The following is a 21987-nucleotide window of genomic DNA, read 5'->3' as shown; positions in this document are numbered from 1 at the left end:
AATGCCTATGACACAAGGTCATCCACATTGGGTCACAGACTATACCTCTTTTATATTCCAAGGTCTGTGACTGTGAGGGTAGCTGCCAGGGGAGGGGGTTCAGGTGTCACCCTGGAAAAACCCAGTCAGTCTAGGTCAGATACCAGCTTCAGATGCTCTTACCAAGTCTATTGAAGACTATCAGGATGGCCCTTAGAGACTGTGGGAGATTGGCTTGTAACAGGGTGGTATGTAATGTACTAAACTATTCCTGGTATTGTTTTCAGATCCTTACACATGTTATCTTCTGATGCCCTATGCAATGGACTGAATTTGCCCCCAAAATTCATATGTTGAAATCCTAATCCCTAATGTAATGATATTAGAAGGTGGGGCCTTTGGGAAGTAATTATATCATAAAGGTGGAACCTTCATGAATAGGATCAGTGCCCAGATAAAAGGAACCCCAGAGAGCTCTCTTGCCTTGTTTCTGCCATGTAAGCATACAAGAAGGCAGCTGTCTGCTACCCAGAAGAGGGCTCTCACCAGAACCGACCATGCTGGCATCTTGATCTTGGACTTACTGCCTCCAGAACCGTAAGAAATATTTAAAGCCACCTAGTTTATGGTGCTTTGTTACAGCAGCCCTGACTAAGACTCCCTATGTGAAAGCTACCATCAGGATGTCATTTCATAGATTAGATGACTGAGTTATATGTAGTCAGGAGCAGAGACTTAGCTCAAGCCTCTCTTCAACCACAGTCCCTTATTCTAAGCCCCTCTGCTCTGCTGTCCTGCTGGACCCTGTCCTGTGTCACTTCCCAAGTTCATTGGTTAAGGGGCAATATGATCTAATTTGGTTTTGGACATGAAGGAACCTTTCTAAGACCATCCTGTTTTATATTTATAAAGGATGTAGTGGTTACAGTTAACTTTTTCTAGTTTAAACTGCCCTTTGAACTTTTTGGTGCTCTTAGAACTGAACAAAAATATTTCGTGTCAGCTGGCTTTGAACTGTGACCATGGCCCTGGAACGCACCAGGACACGCACAAAATGTAAAGGATTGGGTTGCCCAGCATCACTCCAAACACCAAGCCTCATGGGCTCCTGTATGTGTGAGCTTTTGTTGATGTGAAACCACTTTGGGGTATATTGTTAATAGGAATCCAGGAGTCTGATTCAGAGGCAATGGCCTAGTGTAAGGGTAAGAAGTTCTAGTGGGTGTCCTGAGTCATGGTCTTATGATGGGGTGTGAAAAGCAATGACAACCAAAAGATCAGGAGAGATCTAACCTGGAGGAAAACAACTTATAAAGAAGAATTCATATATTTCTGTTAAAAAGTTTATTTATTAAAGGAACCATTATTGCTTTTGTGGCCTTTCCTGAACCCTTGTTTTGCATTGTGGGTTTACTTTGCTCTGCACTGCTTCATCTTTAACTGTCTTCTGGGAATTTTACTGGGCAGTCACACACCATTGCTCTGAAAACTTCCTATTGTAACTTAGATGGAACATTGTTGTAAAGGTTATCCTTGTGCTGCCATATTAGTTAAGGGCAGGTTGATTGCTGTAACTGACAATGACCAAGTTTCAGTGACAATGCAATAGAAATCTATTTCTTGATCACATAATGGGCCAATGCTACCAGATATCCCTGCCCCAAGTGGTGATTCAGGGACCCAGAGTCCTCCTATCTGTGGCACCACCATCTGTGTTGGGGTAGAGGAGAGGGAGAGAGAGAAAGAGACATACACACATTCACAGTCACACACACACAGAGAGAGAGAGACAAGAAAGAAGAGGGGTGGGGGAGGGTGGAATGGAAGGTTGCTCCTGGGTAATTTTCATGGTCCAGAGGCCAGGAAGCACACATTCCATTGCCCAGAACTCTGCAAAGGGTCTTGAAAAGTAGTCCCAGTATGCTCTGTTAGGTTTGCAGTAAGAGTAAATCCACTAGATTCTGCTGAGTGATACATGAGCTGGAGCTGTTTGTGGACATCTTAAGAGAAATGGTCCCCTTGGAAGGTGCCAAGAAGAATAGGTTCAGAAGGCAGGGTGGGAGGATTAGTCATCCATATGGGCCCCAGTGACTGATGCATACTGGGTGTTTCATGTTTGCTGAATGAGCAATGAATGTTCCTCTTTAGTATTGCTTAATGTGGCCCTATAGTTATTAGTACTTTAATATAGTAGTATAGTGTTTCCTGACCCTTCTAGAAAAAAAAGATCACCTATCCTTCCCTTGGACCTATATTGGATACTTTTTGTGTTTCTATCACGGTGTCTGTTACACTTTGTTGCCCTTATTTTTACTTCTGATTTCCCCTATTAGAATGTAAACTAGAAGCAAGAATCTTGTTGCATCCATCTTCATAGCCATAGCCCCTTCTACGGTGCCTGGCATGAAAGGTTCAATAAATAAATGATTTTCTTAGAAGGTTAGAGATTTACCATTTCTCAAATTGAATGTCTGCCCTCTATATTAAACACATTACCTGGAGATGAATCTATTAATTCCATCCTACTGCACTTTATCCATGCTAAGTATGAACGAGAAACAGCATGAAGTTGTGGGGGAAAAGGTTTAGGGCTGGGCAGAGCTGGCCGGGAATCCTGCTTCTGCCACTTTCTAACCCTGTAGTTGTAATTTAACTACGCTGCCTCTTCACCTTATTGTCTCTCAACTTCGTCACCTGGGAAATGAGTATTCTCACTTCCTAATGATGTTTTGAAGTTGAGGATATGAACATAAAGGGATTAGCACATTAGAAAGAAACCCCCATTGCTCCCTGAGTCAGGTGCCATCTCCTTTGCTGCCAAGTGAGAAGCCAGTCCGGTATTCAAAGCAGCCACAGAACCTGATCTTTTTTTTTTTTTTCCAAGATGGGGAAGTAGATTTGGGCTTCAAGCCTATGCCCATGAGGGGCACAGACTCATACATTCTTAATATTAGTAAGGTCCTTGGATGTGTAAACAAAAGAAAAAATGCTTTGCTACCTTAGAAGCAATTCCTCCCTCTAAAAGTGTTCTGTAGAAAAGAATTAGCCATCCACCAGGAACACGGTGGAGGAGACTCTTGTTATGAGCAGGAGGGCAGGACTAGTTTGGTGACTCTCATCAAGCAAGAGCGATCATGTCAGGCTTTCTAGTGGTTTATGAGTAAAAAAACAATGAACATTTGTTGTTTCTGTTATATAAGCCATTGAGGAAAATATTGAACATCATTAAATATGATGGCTGGTGAGTATGTCCAGAAGATATGTTGACGAAGTTTTGGAAGATATAAATAAAAATGTTGAAAAAGACTTGGCTAAGGCTTTCTTGAACATTCCAACAACAGTATTAAAACTGATTATATAGCCTATTTTTAAAAGCCTTCATATTTGTGCTTACCATAGGGCCTAGCATATTGCAAGTGGTCAAGAAACCTTAGATGGATTGATTGAGTGATTCCTACAATATGATTAGATAAACACACATTTGTTGACTGAGTGATTCAATAAATGACTTCCTTTACTCCAGATTTAATAGCCCCAGTTTTCCCAGGTTTTGTTATCATAACCTGTTATTTCTCCACATTTCCGGTGGTTCTAGTGACAATGTCTGGACAGCCTTCAGTCTGTTCATGACCCTCCTGTAATGCAACTCCCAGAGTTAAACCTTATACTTCATCTTTAATCCAGTGACCCACCAGGAAAAGGCCTTGTGATAATCACCAGATAAAACTAAAAGCAAAAAATCTTACTGTTCTGGAAGGCCAGGGGTCAGAGATGTCACAGCTGAAATTTCCTTCAAATGGTTCCAAATGAGGCTATTAAAAGTCAGGGGTGGAAGTCTGCAGGTTTTGCATGTTATATTTTGTTGCTTTATAACCCCTTTGGCCAAAGTGAATGTTATAATCAGCGATGGGCATGACTCTCAGACTTCATCGCTGTGCCAAGTACCAGACTAGAGATCTGTGAGCTAGGAAGCGAGCCAGCTATTTGAAGCACATTACATCAGACATTTCCTGAGGTGTAAAGGAAGGCCTCCTTGCTAGAAAGCAGGGAGAATTTTGGCTCTTAGAGGTTGGACTCAGTAACTTTAACTCCTTGGCTAAGGGCCAATCCTCTAGCAAGCAGCTATCAAGTAGCCTGCAGAAAATTCAAATCCAAAGCATCTGATCCTGCTTTGCCTGTTGACACCACAGCCTCATTTGAGAGCTGTGTCACCTTTTTGGGAGTAGGAACAGCTTTTAGGAAAGGAGAGACATTATAAAATCTGACATTAAAAAAAAGTAGTAACTTTTCTAGTTTTACATTTTGGAGGCAATGTTGTCTTTACAGTGGGAAATTGTAGACCCCGAATTAAAATGCTTTTCCAAAAAATGCTGTCATCCATCACTTTTTTCAAGTTAAACGAAATCATCATATGAAGTAATGGATATACTGCTGTCAACTATTACATTTATTAATTAGATCCTAATGGTAGTTTCTCAATTAACTTCATAAATTATCTTTTGCAGCCAAGGAATTTGATCTCAATAGCCCTCAAGGCCTGGTGTGGTGGCTCACACCTGTAATTCCAGCACTTTGGGAGGCTGAGGTGGGGGGGTCACCTGAGGTCAGGAGTTTGAGACCAGCCAGGCCAACATGGTGAAACCCTGTTTCTACTAAAAATACAAAAAATTCGCTGGGCGTGGTGGCACGCACCTGTAATCCCAGCTACTCAGGAGGCTGAGGCAGGAGAATCGCTTAAACCTGGGAGGTGGAGGTTGCAGTGAGCCAAGGTCACGCCATTGCATCAATACACCCCAGCCTGGGCAACAGAGAGAGGATCTGTCTCAAAAAAAAAAAGAAAAAAAAAATAGCACTCAAAATGAAATGTTTTGTAACGCTCAAGTTTTTAGATCTTTTTGTGTGCCATACAGGCTATTATGAACACATGCACTAAGGCCCCTGTGTTCTTTTAGAACAAAGCATTACTCAAATGAATTTTAAAAACCCTAGTTAATAATACAGAGGCTCTGGAAGCCTCCCTTCTGAATGCTTAAAGTTGGGTCCTGGTGTGGAAACAGAACTGGTTAGAGTAGCCTTACGGAACATACATGAGAGAACAAGACACAAAGCACCTTTGGGTCAATTATCGTATCTGATACTTCTTATACCTGTTGCAAGATATGGAGTTATGATTAGGTCATTCTTCAGTTTATTAACTGAGACCCAGGAGAGATAATTCCAAAGTCATTATCAGGATTAAACAAGTCTTTTGACAGACTGATGCCTTTTCCATCATAAACTCTACAAACTGAAGAGCAACAGTGTTCCAGAGAACAGTGTGACCTTCCTGTAGTTTTGACTCTAAGCCTTCAGTCTAAACTCTGGATACTTCCTCTTTCCTTTTGGGAAAATTGATCTGGCACTATTTGATCCCTACCTTGAAAGGGTGCTCAAGAAAAACATAAAATATTTATGAAGTGCTTTGTTTCATGGGAAGCAATGTTCCAGGATGCAAAACTTCTGTATGCTCTGAGCAGCAGTGTTGGAAACGTACTTCAGCTTACCATACATTGTATCAGCTCTTCCAAGGTTGCACATTTCACTCCTGACTGCCCATGTGTGAAAATCTAAGAATGTCACACATCCCTTTGCCACCTTTCATTAACCATGTTTGTTCCTGAGAATGGTGCGACACATTATTAAAATGTCCAAAAAGGGAAATAAAGGAGTCGGGGGTGAGAAGAAGAGGAGGAGGTGGTAGCAGGGAGGTGAGTAGGAACTGACAACCCCTGAGGAGCCCAAGCTGTTAACCTGCAGGGTATGGGCATCCTCTGCCATTCACCCTGCAAGGTGAAACTGAGACTCACTGGCCAGATCTTGCAAGAAACTCTGCCAAGGTCTGCCATGGCCAAGCCTTTTCAGTGACAAGAGACGGTGGGGTGCAGAGCTGTTCATTTGGCATCCTTCACCAACACTAAGGTCACTGATAAAATATTAAGCTGATCTTATATCTGTGGCTTCATGAAGATGATCAGGGATGGAGGGAAGCCAGGGAAGGGGCAGTGTCGGGTGCATGAAGAGGAGCAAAGCCTCCTGGAAGCACACACACGGAGGCTCACAATAGCCACAGTTGCCACAGGGAAGCAGCCAGCTTGTGTTTACTTTCAACTCAAAGTGTTTTCTGTTGTATATCCATGTCATCACCTCTTATTTATCAGGAAGTGACACAAAGTAACAGGCTTCACAATGCCATCAATGTCATTTTGACAGCATTCATGTCACAATACACAATCATGTACTGTAATTATACAAAATCCAAAGAATAAAATGTTACTAGTTACACTCGTTAAAATGAAACTGACAACCAAAAGAATAACAAAACAAAAAGAAATCTCTGTCAGAATCCATAGAGACATTTGACAATATTACAAAAAAAAGTAGTCAAATAATTGTCCCAGCATGCTGCAGTTCATTGCCATAACTTCATAAATTCCCAGCTCTTTGGGGGAAAGAAAGTGCGTTTTCACAGCCTATATAGTTCTTAAAGAAATAGCTCTCACATGTATGCAGGTCAACAGAACAAGGAATGCAAAGTCTAGGCACCACGATTGCTCAGACAGCAACAGAGTTCAAAGAGTCCAACTTGACACTCTTCTGAACCAGATGTGGTTTCTTGAGAAAGAACTTGGACAGTAACATTAGTCCAAAAGGGCCAAGGAAGAAACACCAACTGTTAATAAGGAAGAAAACCATCAAGAACTAGAACAGTTAAGACAATTTTTTTTCTACTCTACTTTGAAGCTGAATTATAGCTTGAATAGTAAAAGATTACACAGTTGATCTGTGGGTAGAACCCCTCTCTTCCCTGACCAACCTCCCCAATCCAGATCCGGTAATGTTGGAGTACAGATAGTGCTGGCTCAATTTCTTTGAAGTAGAATGACCATTTCTTCATGTGTGGCCATGCCTCCTTTTAATAATGAGGTATAATCTGATGCTAACAATGCCTGTTCCTTCCTGGGTTATGGGGCTGATGAACGGTGTAGGCAGAAAACAATTCAACTTTCTGATAAGAATCACACACACACAAAAATTATTGCACTGAAAAACAAACACTTAAAAATAAAAAACTCAGCCCAACCAGCAAAGGGCCAACTAAACTCTTCGGAAGTGCTGTACTTCCTGCCCTTTGGAGAGCGTCTTGACCTTCCTGGTGTTCTGTTGAATTTGGTCCATTATTAAATGTCCCGAAGTGAAAGAGTCCAAAAGGACACTGTAGGCTCTTTAAGGCTAAGTCTTCCCGGTGCTTCTGTGAGATAAATTATCTCCTTGGCCACATATTACAAAGCAGGGCCTCTGTTTAGAAAAATGACCATCAGGGCCCACTAAAACAATCTGGAAGCAAGGGAGGATGGGCGCACATCATGTCCTCTCCTGTGAATGAGACAAAGAAAGACAGTAAGCAGCCTGGTGTCACAGCAATCTTCTATTGCTCCACCACTGCTCTCACTATGCTCAGTCTCACAACCCATGCAGATGTGGGTTGATCTGTGCATCTTTCTCTGTGTGCTGCCTCCTTTCTGTGGGTCTGAATGTCTTTCCCTCTCCCAGCAAATTTGTTTCTCTCTGTCTTTCTTTATTTTTTATCCTTCCTGCTCCATTGTGCGCTCTGTCTCTCTTGATGGATGTAGAGGTGCAGTGCTAATCCTATCCTTCCCACTGGTCCATATGCTTCCCAGACTTTCATGATTCTCCCATCATGCACCACTGTCATCTCCCTACCCTGTCATTGGCTCCTCTTCCCCCAGTATAGTCAGACACTCTACAGTCTGTTTACTGAACTAAATGGGCAGATTACTGTTACCTCAGCCAAGTTTACTTACACCTCCAAAATCTGATCTCGTAGTCAAAACTGGAGTACAGGACGTTGAATATGTTACAAGTGTCTTCATGAAGCTCTCAAGTAAGGGCTCACATAATGGGGGAGACCAAGGTATTTTCAGACTCTGCTATCCTGAGACTCTATTGTCACTGTTGTTTTTGGTTTTAGGAGTGTCCAATCCAGCTCATGTCTTTTTGTAACCCCGTATACAGCCCTTGTAATCAATAAAATATTTGCACAAGATATCTAGATAGATTTGGATGGTAGTATCCTGATATTACAGGCACAGATCCAATAACAGAATAATTTAGGGTTCTGGGTAGAGGGAATGGAGGTAAAGTCATCATGATGTGCAGAAGCTCCTGTTTGTTGCCAACACCAACCAAGGTGCATTGAAACTCAAAGATCTGCTACAGTACTTGTTTCTCCCTGTGACCACCCATGTGAGGCCAGGAGCTGGGAAGAAATACTCATGTGAAGTCAGAGTCAATACAAATGGCTACTGCTGTCTTTTGTCCCATCCATCACATCCCCCTCTAATAGTTCTAAGACTGAGCACTCGTGGAGAGCTCTTCTCCACTTACTGCTCCGGATTCTGAACTAGGACTTGCTAACATTCTCGTATATGACATCACTGATGCAGAACTGCTGCTTCTTCTTCATCCACATCAGTTGCACACACTGATGGATAAAAATGTACTGCTCCTGGAACAAAAGACAAAAACAGGTTTCAGAGCAGACATGTGCAAAGATATAATATTTTATACTATGACAATTTTAATGATCAAGATCTGGTGTTAAAGGAAACCATTTTCATTATTTACAGAGACACAGTTTTATAACTAGAAAATCCAAGAGAATCAACTGTACAAGTATTTTGATTAATAACAGAGCTTAGAACATCATGGCTTTTTTAAAAAAACAGTGGAATTTTTTTCCCCTAACTTTATTGCAGTATAATAAAAATTGTATATATTTAAGGTGTACAATGTGATGACTTGATATACATATATGTTATGAAATGATTACCACAATCAAGCTAGTTAACACATTCATCACCCCAGATTATATATATGTTTATATATATGTGTGTGTATATATACATATATATGTATGTATATATATTTGTGTGTGTGTGTGTGTGGTGAGAACACTTAAGATCTACTTTCCTAGCAAATTTCAAGTATACAATACGGTATTATGAACTATGTTCACCATGCTGTACATTAAATCATTATTAATGCTAAAGGAAATGAATATTCAATCAAATCATGGGGCTATTTTGAAAAAAAAAGGATATCCCATTATCATACACCAAAGCAAATTCCAGGTAATTTAATAAATTGTCTTTAAAAATACAGAGGAAAATATTGGTTAATTTCTCTCTGATTCCTTTAGGAAAGGAATTTCTAAAATTAAGAGCAGTAGAATACATTACAAATAAAAATCTCAATCTACTGTATATTTTAAAAAGTTAAAAAGAATAAAACACAGGGTAAACCACAAACTGGAAAAGAAAAATATTTTCTAGAATTATGACAGAATATTGATGCCTTTATTTTTGTGATAAAGTCATTCAAATCAGTAACATATACAAATAGACAAATAAGTAAAGGACATCAACCACTAGGCCAAATATTCCCTGGAAGTTAGAAACTATGTCTTTTTATTCCTAATGCTTAGCACTTAGCTGTGTTTATTAAATGATTTTTGAAGTAAACTGAGGAAATATTAAAATATGCCAACAATAGTCAAGTAATACAAAGTACATTGAAATAATTATTTTCTATCTATGTAGTGGACAAAGCTAGAAGGAAAAGAATAATATTTAATGATGACAAGTTTGTTGAGGCAGTCCATTTTACCTATTGTTTGTGGAGGTAGAATTAATAAAGTGCTAATAAATGGTGTGGACACAGATAATAGTAAAAAGTGGAAAATAATCCAATTTAATGTTCTATAAAAAGGAGATTGGTTTAAGTATGCAATAGTGTATCTTTAATGAAACATTAGTCTGTCCTTAAAATGAGATTTATAGAGTTGTAGGTAATTTTTGATACTATACAGGCTACATAGTAAAATCCTAAATGAGAAACTACAATGTAAATAGAATGTAAAGTAACACACATATATACATACATATAATATGAGCACAATCATGTAAAAGTTATACTTGAATGAAAGCCAAAATGAAATCACCAAAATATATCTTTCTGCCAAGAAGTAAGGGTAATTTCACAGTGTTCCTCCTTTTTCTTTGTTTCCCAGAGTTTCTCTATAAGTAATAGCACTAGAAATAACATTTAAATGAGATCCGGTCAAAATATTCATAGGATTTTAAGAAGCTTCCTGTGTAACAACTTCATACAAAAAACAAAATTAATATTTCGAACATCACTGGATTGATGCCTCAGCCTAACCTGTATTTTTCAACACGGTTTGGAGAAAATATATTCCCTTTTGTGGTGATGGTATCCTATCAGTGGCTGAGCTACCCCTTGTGGTCATCACACATGGACACCTAATCCATTGCTTCTGGTGTTATGTCAACACAGGGAATAGATAAGACCAGAGATTGCCTGGACATTCAATCTGCATCTGCTTAGTGGCTACATTTTGTATCAAAACAAAAAACAACCAAACAACAAGACCACAAGAAAAGTAAATAAAGACTATTTATGGAGGGACTTGTCCTTGAAAGTCCCGAAATTCAAACTGCAGATCAAGAGGATGGGCTGCTCAAAGCAAAGCCCCAACTGACCTCCAGGGAAGGATATTAGAGGAAAACCAAACAAAATATTCGATAAAAATAGAAGAGAGGAGAACATCATTCATAAGTAGCACTTCACAGTTTCAAATCACTTATCTAGGTTATATTATTTCCCATCATGTCTGCTTTACAAAAATTAGTGAAAGTTATCATTCATATTTTACAGAAGAGAAATGGGAGCCTTGAGAGGTGACATGACTTGTGCAGCAGTAAAGTGGAGATTCAGGCTCCCCTCAGGGTCTGGCATTCTTTCTAAATACGCCTCTACTTGCGTGAAGAAGTCTATGAAGTGTGTCTGGTCAGGTGAGGAAGAGGAAGAGGGCAGGTCACAGTGCAGTCCAGGCAGCATGTTGCACCTGGAGACATGGCTCATCCTATCAGCTACTTCTGCAATTTTTTGGGTGAGGTGGAATGGTGGGGTCAAGGCAATGTAGAGAAGGCTGGAAAATTAGATACCAGTGATGGGAGGAAATATGGTCTATGTGGGTTGATTATATACATAAAAACAGAGCTCAAGTGGAGAACCATTTCATTCTCTTGAAAATCATTAGCGTCAAAGGAGTACTCTAGGATGATACATGTGAAAAGAATAACCTTTTTTTACTTTGTTCTTTCCTTGTTAACTTTTGTGACCTGGCAGCAGAATTTGAATGTGAATGGGCTTAAGGAGAATCTTAGGCAGATCAATCTGTATTCAAAATACGGGATGAACCATGGTAAGCAGAGGAACAAGGAAAAAATAAAGGTAAATGAAGAAGATGTTCTAGACATAAGTTAAAAAAAAAGACACAGATAAATAACTGGAACTGGAAAACATCCACCAGGAAGTCCTGCGGGAATCAAGGGTCAAGCTAGAAAAGTTGGAAAAAGTAAGTAACCCGGGGAACCTCTGCCCCCTTTGCTGACTTTGAACTCCCCATGAGAGTTCAGGGAAGGGATACTGCACTTTATTTTTTATTTAATTATTTCATAATTAATTTTAATTAATTATTTTATGGGGTTTTTTTTTTGAGACGGAGTCTTGCTCTGTCACCAGACTGGGGTGCAGTGGCACGATCTTGGCTCACTGCAAGCTCTGCCTCCCAGGTTCCAGCGATTCTCCTGCCTCAGCCTCCCGAGTAGCTGGGACTACAGGCGTGTGCCACCACGCCCAGCTAATTTTTGTATTTTTAGTAGAGAAGGGGTTTCACTATGTTGGCCAGGATGGGGATACTGTACTTTAAAAAGGCTGTGTCCGCGGAGATATCAACATAAAATGCTGGCATAAACAAATAAAACAACCAAAATTTAGGGTAAAACATTTAGGGAGAAAACAAAACGTTTTCTTGGCTTTGCAGAAAGCGACATGGTGGCTGCTTGATAACCACCCAAAGAAAGATAATGACCCTAAAAATGGGATGGAGGATGTGTCATGTGAAAGAGATTAAGAATCTGTAGTTGGAGAAAAGTCAAAAGCAAACAGGCCATAATTAAAATCTACTAAGTTTTTTTTGTTTTTTTTGAGATGGAGTCTCACTCTGTCGCCCAGGCTGGAGTGCAGTGGCACCATGTCAGCTCATTGCAACCTCCGTCTCCTGGGTTCAAGCAACTCTCTTGCCTCAGCCTCCCGAGTAGCTGGGATTACAGGTGCCCATCACCAGGCCAGGCTAATTTTTTAATATTTTTAGTAGAAACGGGGTTTCACCATGTTGGCCAGGCTGGTCTCCAACTTCTGACCTCAGGTGATCCGCACGCCTCAGCCTCCTAAAGTGCTGGGATTACAGCTGTGAGCCACTACGCCAGGCCCCAAAATCTATGAAGTTGTAAAAGGTATGAATTAAGTAAATTGAGGAGACAATTCATTAAATGCAAAATACTTAAAATAAGGTGTGGCTCTTTGAAGCTTGGTGATTCATATACATAACGTGGATTTTTAATCACATATCAAGGTGCAAATTTATGGAAGTAAAAGCCAAAAATATGGACCGATTAATAAAGCACTGTTTACTCACCAGACAGTGGACTCCTCTGGGAAACCAGACATTTTAAACTTATGATTAAAAAGTGATACTGATGTCCCCACCACACTAAATTACTAGGCAGCATGATTGAAACCAAGTGAGGAAACCAATTGGACTTGCTTCCTAATTATCAATGAGAGGTCTGAATATTAACGAGGATAACTCTTTCCCAAGTGGTATGATCCTGCTGTAGTTCAGAAATGAATGTATTGAAACAGCCTTGCCAAAAATTGGTCAGACAAGAATGGGGAGGTAGGAGGAAAGAAAAGTAAAAGGAGTGGGAAAGCAGAAACAGCTGAGACGGCCGCCATTACTCTAGGCTTTTGAAGTGATACTGACATCTAGTGGTGCTGGGTAGGAAAAGCATGAGGAAGACCAAAGCATTTTAAAAATACCCTGATTACAGGTCGGGCCAGGTTGTGTTCTACCCAAGCGCTCCACCCACACATACTCTTTGAGAAAAAGGATTATTGTAAGACCGAAGCTAAGAAGTCGCGAGTATGGCTGGGTGATGAGGCTTATGAACAAGCTGTTGTACTTGGGTTTTTGCGCCCACAAGGGTACACACCCACGGCTGCTCTGAGGCAGGCGGTGCTGTCTGCCGGCGTTGCCTTGGGTTGTCGCTCCAGACTAAGTGCATCCTCAGGCTTTCAGGGAGGGAGGACTCGGGAGAAGAGGAGGAAGACGGAGCACGTAACACTGTTGGATATTTCAGGGGATGCTTCCATGTTGTTAAAATAATAAATCTTCATCATTGAGATGAAGGGAACTGGCAATGCTGGTAGGTTGGGGACTGGGAATCTTTAAAATCATAAAAGGGACAGAAAGCTCAAATCCAACTTCTAATCATCATCAAAAGTGAATTGGGATAGAGTCACACGGAGGATAAACTAATGACAAATGTATTGAATCAAATCCAACATTTCAAATATAAATCAAATTTCACCAGTTCAACAGTCTCTATTTGGTGGCATTTACCCAGGATGGCTGTTATCTGCAATTGACTCTGAGTCTGTTCAAAGAGGTTTTACTCTTACGAATCTACCCATGCACTCTGAATTATGATGCCAATAAAAGTATAATCACTATATGTCGAATGGATTTCTGGAGGCTAGTGTCTATTTCTTTTATGCCTCAAAGCAGTTTGAACATATACAATAAGAAAATGGGAAAGAAAGATACAAAGAAGTTTGAGAGAATTGTTTTGAAGCATATCATTGAATAATGGTAAGTTTTTCAGTCCAGGGAAAATTTAAAAATACATATAGATTATGTTCCTACCTCTGTCTGTACCATAGACATCCGGTATGACCTCATTTCTGACACCAGCCCTAAGATGTCAACAAACTCATGATCCCGAATGTGCTGCAAGAGCCTGTCCAGGGCAATGAATGTTCCTGTCCGTCCCACGCCAGCACTGCAAAAGAATGTTCCGATGGCATATTATTCAGATGGTGCTTCTTTTTTTTCTCCCCCCTCTTTTTTTTTTTTTCTTTGAGATGGAGTCTTGCTCTGTTGCCCAGGCTGGAGTGCAATGGCATGATCTCGGCTCACTGCAACCTCTGCCTCTCGGCTTCAAGTGATTCTCCTGCCTCACCCTCCTGAGTAGCTGGGATTACAGGTATGTGCCACCATTCCTGGCTAATTTTTGTATTTTTAGTAGAGATGGAGTTTTGCCATGTTGGCCAGGCTGGTCTTGAACTTCTGACCTCAGGTGATCTTCCCACCTCGGCCTCCTGAAGTGCTGGGATTAGAGGCGTGAGCCACCTCGGCCAGCCCAGATGGTGCTACTTTACTGTTGAAATAAAACTGATGATTTCTAAAAAACTACAAATAGTACCCTTGTGGAAAAACGCAGACTAAGCTCCTGACAATATTTTCCACTTAACTGATTTTTAAGTATGGAGTTGTGGTTGGTGTTCCTTCTAATGTCACATTTCTGACTATCATGGCTACGTTCCTGAGAGACATTTGCACTGCATTGGCCACACCCTTTATCGGGGTCTCTGCTTCTGCAGAAAAGTAGGGATTCCATGTTGAGTACTCTCGGGAACTGATTTCTGAATTCAGAGAGCTGATACACATAAACAATACCCTGTCTTTTGAACAGCATCAGAGTTAAGCCCTCAGATCAGCTCAAAACTCCAGTTGAGATGTCCATACCCTAACTCTAGGTCTGGGACCACAGAGATTTGTGTATCTTCAACCCTAAGTTCAGTTCACCACCCCAGACCTGCCTTACAGCATGCCTGCCATTTTAGTGGGTCCTGGGCCTGCTTCCATCTCACAGGGACCTTTGAGATAGTTGCCTTAAAATCAAATGAAAAATTTGGACCCAGTCTCAGCCAGTCCCCCAATCCCAATGCTCGGGGCACAGATGGAAGTGGACTGACATGCGCTGACCAACTGCCCATCACAGTCCCTAGTTCTATGTGTTGAAGTCAGCCCTTTTTTCCCTCTAATCCTCAATAAAGAGTCAAATGGCTCTTAGCTTTGAATCACTGTGAAATGATGGGAAAAGAGAAAGTTCAAGCAAATTTATATGGAAAGTTTGCTAGAAAAATCCCACTCTATAAACCTTGAGTTTAAGGGTTGCTTTTTCTACTAGACAACTCTTCCCTCCCAGGATTTCTCAGATAAAATGATCTGCCATTGGGTGAGCACCTGTAAAGTCATATCCAGAACTGCACTTACTATCTTCCATGAAAGGAATCTGTGAGTTTGACCCCAGAGTTGAAGAGCTTCATTTTCTGTTCTTGAAAAGAACCATTTTGAGAACAGATAATCTTACCTGCTAAAGCACATCTTTTAACCTGTGAATGCCTACAGTGGATTGACAGCAACAATATCTGCCCTAAACAGAAACTTAGTAGCTTATGAAGCATTTTCCTTTCCAGGGAGACACACACTCCACACAAACACACATGAATGCACACATATACTTCCTCATTCTAGTCATTCTAATTCACAAGGGCCAAGGCAGTAGGTCTGGGATTGTAGATTTATTTGCTTAGGTTGGCATGGCTGCCAATGCTTCCCTTCACATCTTCATCCCACTGCCACCTCTCACTTGCCATTGGAGCACGTTTATGTCCCCTGTTCTTTTGAGGTTGCATAAGGATTTTACAGCAATATTGTATCACAGAGATAGATTTTGATGGAGCTCTGTTCATACAGTAGGAAGAACAAATTAAATTTAATGATAACTTTTCCTGTTGGGAATTAGTGTGGACCTTGATTTTTTTATATCCTATATCCTTTTTCATTCTACTGTCTGACAATTTAAGAGACAATCCCGAAGAGGAATCATAGCAAATATGTTTATCTTCCTAAGCTGAATATTTTCATTTTTCTTTTCCTTTTCTAGTTTTTATGCCTATTTATATTATGTCAAGCTGTGATCAGCTTTCTATAATTTGACCTTGTATTTGTCCATGTTGTAACTACCCAGAATCCTTGATGGAGTAGGATAATATCACATATTAAGGGCATGATCTTTGCAGATTGGCATGCCTGGATTTGAATACTAACTCCTCCATGTTCTAGTTGCATGAACTTGTGTGAATCCCTTAACATCTCTACCCTTCTCTATTTTTTTCATTTAAAAATTGGAATAATAACATCTATTTTATAGGGTATAGATACAGGAAAGCCAGAATAAACATTGTATATAGTGAGACATCAATTAATCATAGTTTAAAAAACATCAGAGTTTATTTAATTTTCAACTAAACCTGATAAGGGCTTATGGAATGGTGAGCTGTTCCCCTTACAAAACCAACTCCTAATATTTAATAGAAAATGCAGTTGATGAGGTTACCTGCAGTGAATGATCATGGGACCTTTGCTCTTGGTAGCTTGCTGTCGGACCATGTGTACAAACTGCAGGATACTTTCTGCAGCATTTGCTGTGGGCACACCATGATCAGGCCATGCAGTGTAGTTAAAATGCATCACATCCTGCATCTCGTCAGCCTTTAGAGAAAAAAGCCAAAAACAAGCATTAATTTTTCAGTTCACTGTTAGGATGACCCAGGACTCTGCTAGTTAAGCATGCAAAAAGGTAGAGCCACGTTCCACTCCTGGTCAGTACACTTTCCTTTCCAGCTTTGAGCACCATATCTGGCATAAAATAGGTATTGAAAAAAAAAACCACGCTAATTGTATAAAGCTTCAAATAGTAGGATAAGTAGGCTAATCTGTACCTGTGGACAACACTTAAGCAGATTAGGGTTTGCATCCTGGCTCTGTCATTTAGAAGCTGCATCAGTTTTGGCTAATGAATTAAACACTGTAGAAAGTGCTGTTGGTGCCCTTTAGATACACTTTGCCAGCCTGGGACACACTTTTCCCAGTTGCTGCTAACAGCACAGCAGTACCTATCTCTTGATAGTTGCCTTCCACTGCACAGAGCTGCCTCGATAGAAAATGCCTAAGAGGTTGCGTTCTCCTGCTGAGGGAAGCCCACAGCTAATGACTGACTAATTGTGGGGTACAAAAATCCAGCCTTTTTCAGAGTGAGACAGTACCATGGTGCTGTTCATGCCCCCAGCACTCTCTGTGGGATCCAGCACAGGTGAGATTTTCAGCTGAATGCTCTGTAGGGCTTCTTCTCTGTCAATCTGCTTCCCTTGCTCCCTTATGGGCTTTCCCTAAGAATGCACTTTCACAAAATCACTTATATGAGAATCCTTGTCTTGGGCTTTGATACTAGAGGACTTGACTCACTGAGCTTCAGTTTTCTCATATCTAAAAATGGCCTAATGATACTTATAACAAGAGTTGTTGTGTGAATTAAGTGTAATCATGTGTGTGATATTACTACTTACTAGTACCTCATTACCATCACTCACCGTCATCCAGCTCCGTGCAATTGTATGGTTGATTCTGGGAGTCCCCAGTAAGTGAGTATAACTTGTATATTTTCCTATTCCTATTAACCCATACATCAAATATATTGTTGTTCTCTCTGAACTGAGTACATATTAACTAGAATGTATATCTTTCCAGATCAACTCTTTTTAGTCCCAACTAACTTGTAAGAGTTACATATTCTCCACTTGTTATCAGCCATCAGAAATATCCCAAACCCAGGCTTCATAAAGGTCTGATTCATCCCTCAGTTCTCAAACTTGTGAAGAGCCTAGAATTCACTCAGAGGCTGGAATACTATATCATAACTGGGAAGGAGGGAAGCTTGGCCTCGCTGTCAGTTTTGAGCTAAAATTTAAGTTCAGGTATTGAAAGAGAAATGAATTTCAAAGAGTCAGTGGTCTTGGACAGAAAATAAACGTATAAAGACAATTCATAAATAAAATGTATAAATAAATATGTAAGATTTGTTTAAATATACATAAGTTATCACCTCCCCTACACCCATTGTACCCTTGGCACCTAATATATCCCCAGCAGCATGCAGTGCCTCCCCTACTATGTTCAAGGGCTCTGGCTTAGACACACAGAACATGAAGTCTACAAAGACGCTGGCTACCCTCACTGCTCTCTTCAGGAAGTATGTTGAGAAACTATCTTGGGCATAAAGAATTGTGCAGAATAATTTACTTATTCAACATCATGAGGATTTAAGAATACTCAGCCACCAGATAACTTTGGTTGCCAGGAAAGTTCAGGAAAATGCTTGCCCTGTTTAAATGCTGATCATAATTTGTATAACATGTGTACATTGTAGCCAATATATATATTCCAGTACGGTTGAAGTGAAAATGTATTCAGTTAAAAAGTGCAAGGTGATTTAAAATCAGGAAATCATTAAATTGTAGTTAGTTTCTCCGCAGCTACACGGCAGGGGTCCTGGAACTGGGGTCAGCCCTGTGAGCTGAATAGCAGGGCACAAAGTCCCTGGCAACAAACACGTTTTTGATGATCTTTAGTCTCCAGCTCTCACTCAGTTGATGCCAAATTTCAAGTAGTAGAAAGTGACAAGTTGTGTGTTATGGTCATTTCTCTCCTTTCTTGTTAAAGGAGAAAACTCTTCTGGTTTTATCTTACTTAGCTATTCCTAAATTTCTCTTACCTTGAGTTCCTTATTTATGTAATTTTATCTTTTTATAATTGGAAAGTTTCCACATATCAATATGGAATGGATAAAGAAGGGTATAAACAAAAAATGAAACAAATTGAAAAATATATTAATTAGCATAGCACAATGTTCTTTGGGCAACTTAGCCTTCATTGTAGCTTAACATTTAGATTCATTATGCTTATGGCCAAAAGGGGGCACTCTGGTACCAGACGCTTGTAACAAGTAAATTCCTTACAAACAAACACTACTGTTCAATGTTTTATTCCTATTTTTCAAGTCCTTCACATGATTGTCATTGAAAGATAGGTCATCACTTAAGACCAAGGACAAGAAGCATAGTACTGACCAAGCAATAATCTATGTGACTCTTCTTTGTCAACAGAATAGGCAATGGAACAGACCCTATTTTGTGCTCTGAAATTTTTTCTACTACGTGCAAACCTAGGGACAGATTTGTACTGTATTTGGTTATCAGTTTGCACTGGCTTTTCAATTGAAATATCTAAGAACAAAAAACAGAGTTCAAATGGCATTTGGATTGACAAATATTTTCTCTGACGGAAAGTCTATTGATGCTTTACAAGTGCCTTATTATTTTTGAAATAACTCATTCATTCACTGATTTATTCATTCCACAGGGATACAGCACTTGCTTCTGAAACTCACAGTATACTGGGGAGGCAGACACAAGAAGCGAGAATTGTAACTATCTATGGTGTGCTGTGATAAAGCAGCTTACTTAAGACTCTGCCCCAGAGAAGGAATGGGCTAACGGTGTCCAAGCCCAGAGAAGACGCCACAAAGGGGGTGACACTTAAGCTGAAACTCTGCATTTGAGTAAAAACGTGCTTAACAAGGAAGCAATGTGAATTTTAAATGACCGAAACAACACGAAACACAGCCTGTTAGAGTCATACGGGGATTTGCCTGAATTCTCCTGGTCATAAAAGACATTGTTAACTGCCAGTTAACAAGTGGCAATTAACAATGGCTAAGAAGTGATTTATCTCCTGTAGAGATCAATCAGTAGGTAGTATCAAGTTCTAACGTTGTATTGATACGGGCAATCTTTGTTTCCATTGCCTATTTTAAGGGTCAGCAAACATTTTCTGCAAAGAGACAGTTAGTAAATATTTTAGTTTTTGCAGATCATATAGTTTTGGTTGCAGCTACTCAAGCTTGATGTAGCACAAAAGCAGTCATAGACAATTCGTCAACAATGCAGGCTGTGTTCTAATAAAATGTTATATATGGACATTGAAATTTGAATTTCACATAATTTACATATAGCATTTCACATAAAATACTATTTTTCTTGTTGATTTTTTTTGTGTGTGTGTGTGTGTGTGGAGATAGAGTCTTGCTCTTGTTGCCCAGGCTGAAGTGTAGTGGCACAATCTTGGCTCACTGCAACCTCCACCTACGGGGCTCAAGTGATTCCCCCACCTCAGCCTCTTGAGTAGCTGGGACTACAGGTGTGTACCACTACACCAGCTAATTTTTGAATTTTTAGTCAGATGGGATCTCCCTGTGTTGCTCAGGCAATCTTGAAATCCTGGGCTTAAGTGATCTGCTCGCCTCAGCCTCTCAAAGTGCTGGGATTACAGGCATGAACCACCATACTCAGTTGTCTTTTTTCAACCATTAAAAAATGTAAAAACCATTCTTAGCTCATGGGCTTTATCCAAAAGGCAGTGGGTAAATTTGGTCCACAGGCTACAGTTTGCTATTTCCTTAACTATTAGAAAGGATTGTTTCTAAGCAGGGAAGAACATCTCAGTGAGAACTTTCCTATTCAATTTTGTCTTCATAGACAGCATGTTCAAGTGGAGAAGACTATTAATAGTAAAAACTGTATATTCTATAGGCTGAGGTCAATGGCATGACTTCAATTGATGTTAACACCTAAGCCTGTCACAGAAATATTCAGCGTTTGCTCAGAGACTTGTCAGCAGAAAGGTGTCAGGCCTTGTGAGAAAAACAGACATTTTTTTTGGATGTGTTATCCATCAGAAATCAATAGCCCTTCAAGAGAGATAGGGAATTATGATAATAAGACCTAGAAGTACCTTACAAATAATGAAAACCAAACCAGAACAAAACAAGAAAAAAAACAAAACAAAACCCAAACTACTAAATCAGGGTTTAATTATTTAATTTAAAACATAAGTGTGCCTTATATACCCCAATTATACTCATATATGATTAATATAAGTAATGAGAACACTTCTGTCCTCAATGATGCCTCATAAACAATGATTAATAGTGTCTTCTATGATCTTGAGCTAATTCGAGATGAACTAGTGCAGACTTTTTACTGCGTCTTCTCAGCCTCTCCAGACCAACCATATCATCCACACCATCACTGATGAAATGGGAAACAATGACACTGAGAATGGATTTTTCCTCTTGAAGGAAGCAGCAATGCAAAGCTCAAAGTGCTCATTGGGTTGGTCTCCCAGCACTTCCCTGGTGGTGGTGGTGTAGGTGTCTGTTGGGAACAGGCCCCCAAATCTGGCCATAAACTGGCCCCAAAACTGGCCATAAACAAAATCTCTGCAGCCCTGTGACATGCTCGTGATGGCCTTGATGCCCATGCTGAAGGTTGTCGGTTTACCGCAATGAGGGCAAGGAACACCTGGCCCTCCCAGGGCGGAAAACCGCTTAAGGCATTCTTAAACCACAAACAATAGCATGAGCAACCTATGCCTTAAGGACACGTTCATGCTGCAGATAACTAGCCAGACCCATCCCTTTATTTCCCATAAGGAATACTTTTAGTTAATCTATAATCTATAGAAACAATGCTTATCACTGGCTTGCTGTCAATAAATATGTGGGTAAATCTCTGTTCGAGGCTCTCAGCTCTTAAAGCTGTGAGACCCCTGATTTCCCACTCCACACTCGATATTTTTGTGTGTGTGTCTGTAATTCCTCTAGCGCCGCTGGGTTAGGGTCTCCCCGACCAAACTGGTCTCAGCAGGTGTCAGCATAGGGACAGCACCTGCTCTCTGCCTGGTGACTTACATAGTTGATCCGGAAGTGTCTACAGGCCCAGTCGTCCTGCTCTTCCTCTGAAATCATCTCCACAGTGATGTCTCCATAGGCTATAGGTTCTTCCGTGAATGGCCAGTAATGGTCACATTTCACCTGGAGCAAGGACAAAACAATTTTTTAAAACAAACAGGCTAGGAAAGGAATTAAGTGTGCTCACTTAGGGAAAACAAAGGTATTCGCCTCTAAAGAATTAGATAGGACCGTGGTGAAGATGAAACATAAAGCAAACCATTTCTGCTACGTAGTGTGAATTCTTATCACATGACTTGGGTCATTC

General features: G+C 40.3%; 1 protein-coding gene across 8 annotated transcripts in view, besides 2 other annotated features; it reads right to left on the bottom strand.

Annotated features, from left to right (window-relative positions):
- PTPRO (protein tyrosine phosphatase receptor type O) overlaps positions 5151-21987 on the bottom strand; it is a 275824-nt gene continuing 258987 nt past the window's right edge. For 4 of the 8 annotated variants that reach the window (NM_030667.3, NM_002848.4, NM_030669.3 and 1 more), the window contains 5 exons: positions 21681-21803; positions 16431-16585; positions 13892-14027; positions 8425-8545; positions 5151-7392 (listed from right to left, as the gene is read on the bottom strand). In NM_030667.3, coding sequence (NP_109592.1) covers positions 8441-8545; positions 13892-14027; positions 16431-16585; positions 21681-21803 — 519 coding nt within the window. In that variant the 3' untranslated portion in view covers positions 5151-7392; positions 8425-8440. Of the gene's footprint in view, positions 8546-13891; positions 14028-16430; positions 16586-21680; positions 21804-21987 lie in introns of all 8 variants that reach the window. The other 4 variants (XR_931316.4, XR_007063106.1, NM_030671.3 and 1 more) reach the window with 2 other exon arrangements.
- Positions 12873-12932: an enhancer, noted in NCBI's record as "active region_6070". NCBI's record gives its function as "activates an Ori minimal core promoter by ATAC-STARR-seq in GM12878 lymphoblastoid cells {active_cell/tissue: GM12878}" and the evidence as "EXISTENCE:reporter gene assay evidence [ECO:0000049][PMID:35858748]".
- Positions 13213-13262: an enhancer, noted in NCBI's record as "active region_6069". NCBI's record gives its function as "activates an Ori minimal core promoter by ATAC-STARR-seq in GM12878 lymphoblastoid cells {active_cell/tissue: GM12878}" and the evidence as "EXISTENCE:reporter gene assay evidence [ECO:0000049][PMID:35858748]".

The sequence above is a fragment of the Homo sapiens genome, chromosome 12, assembly GCF_000001405.40.
Source record: "Homo sapiens chromosome 12, GRCh38.p14 Primary Assembly".
In the NCBI taxonomy this organism is placed as follows: domain Eukaryota; kingdom Metazoa; phylum Chordata; class Mammalia; order Primates; family Hominidae; genus Homo; species Homo sapiens.
This window is presented reverse-complemented; position numbering and strand designations above follow the sequence as displayed.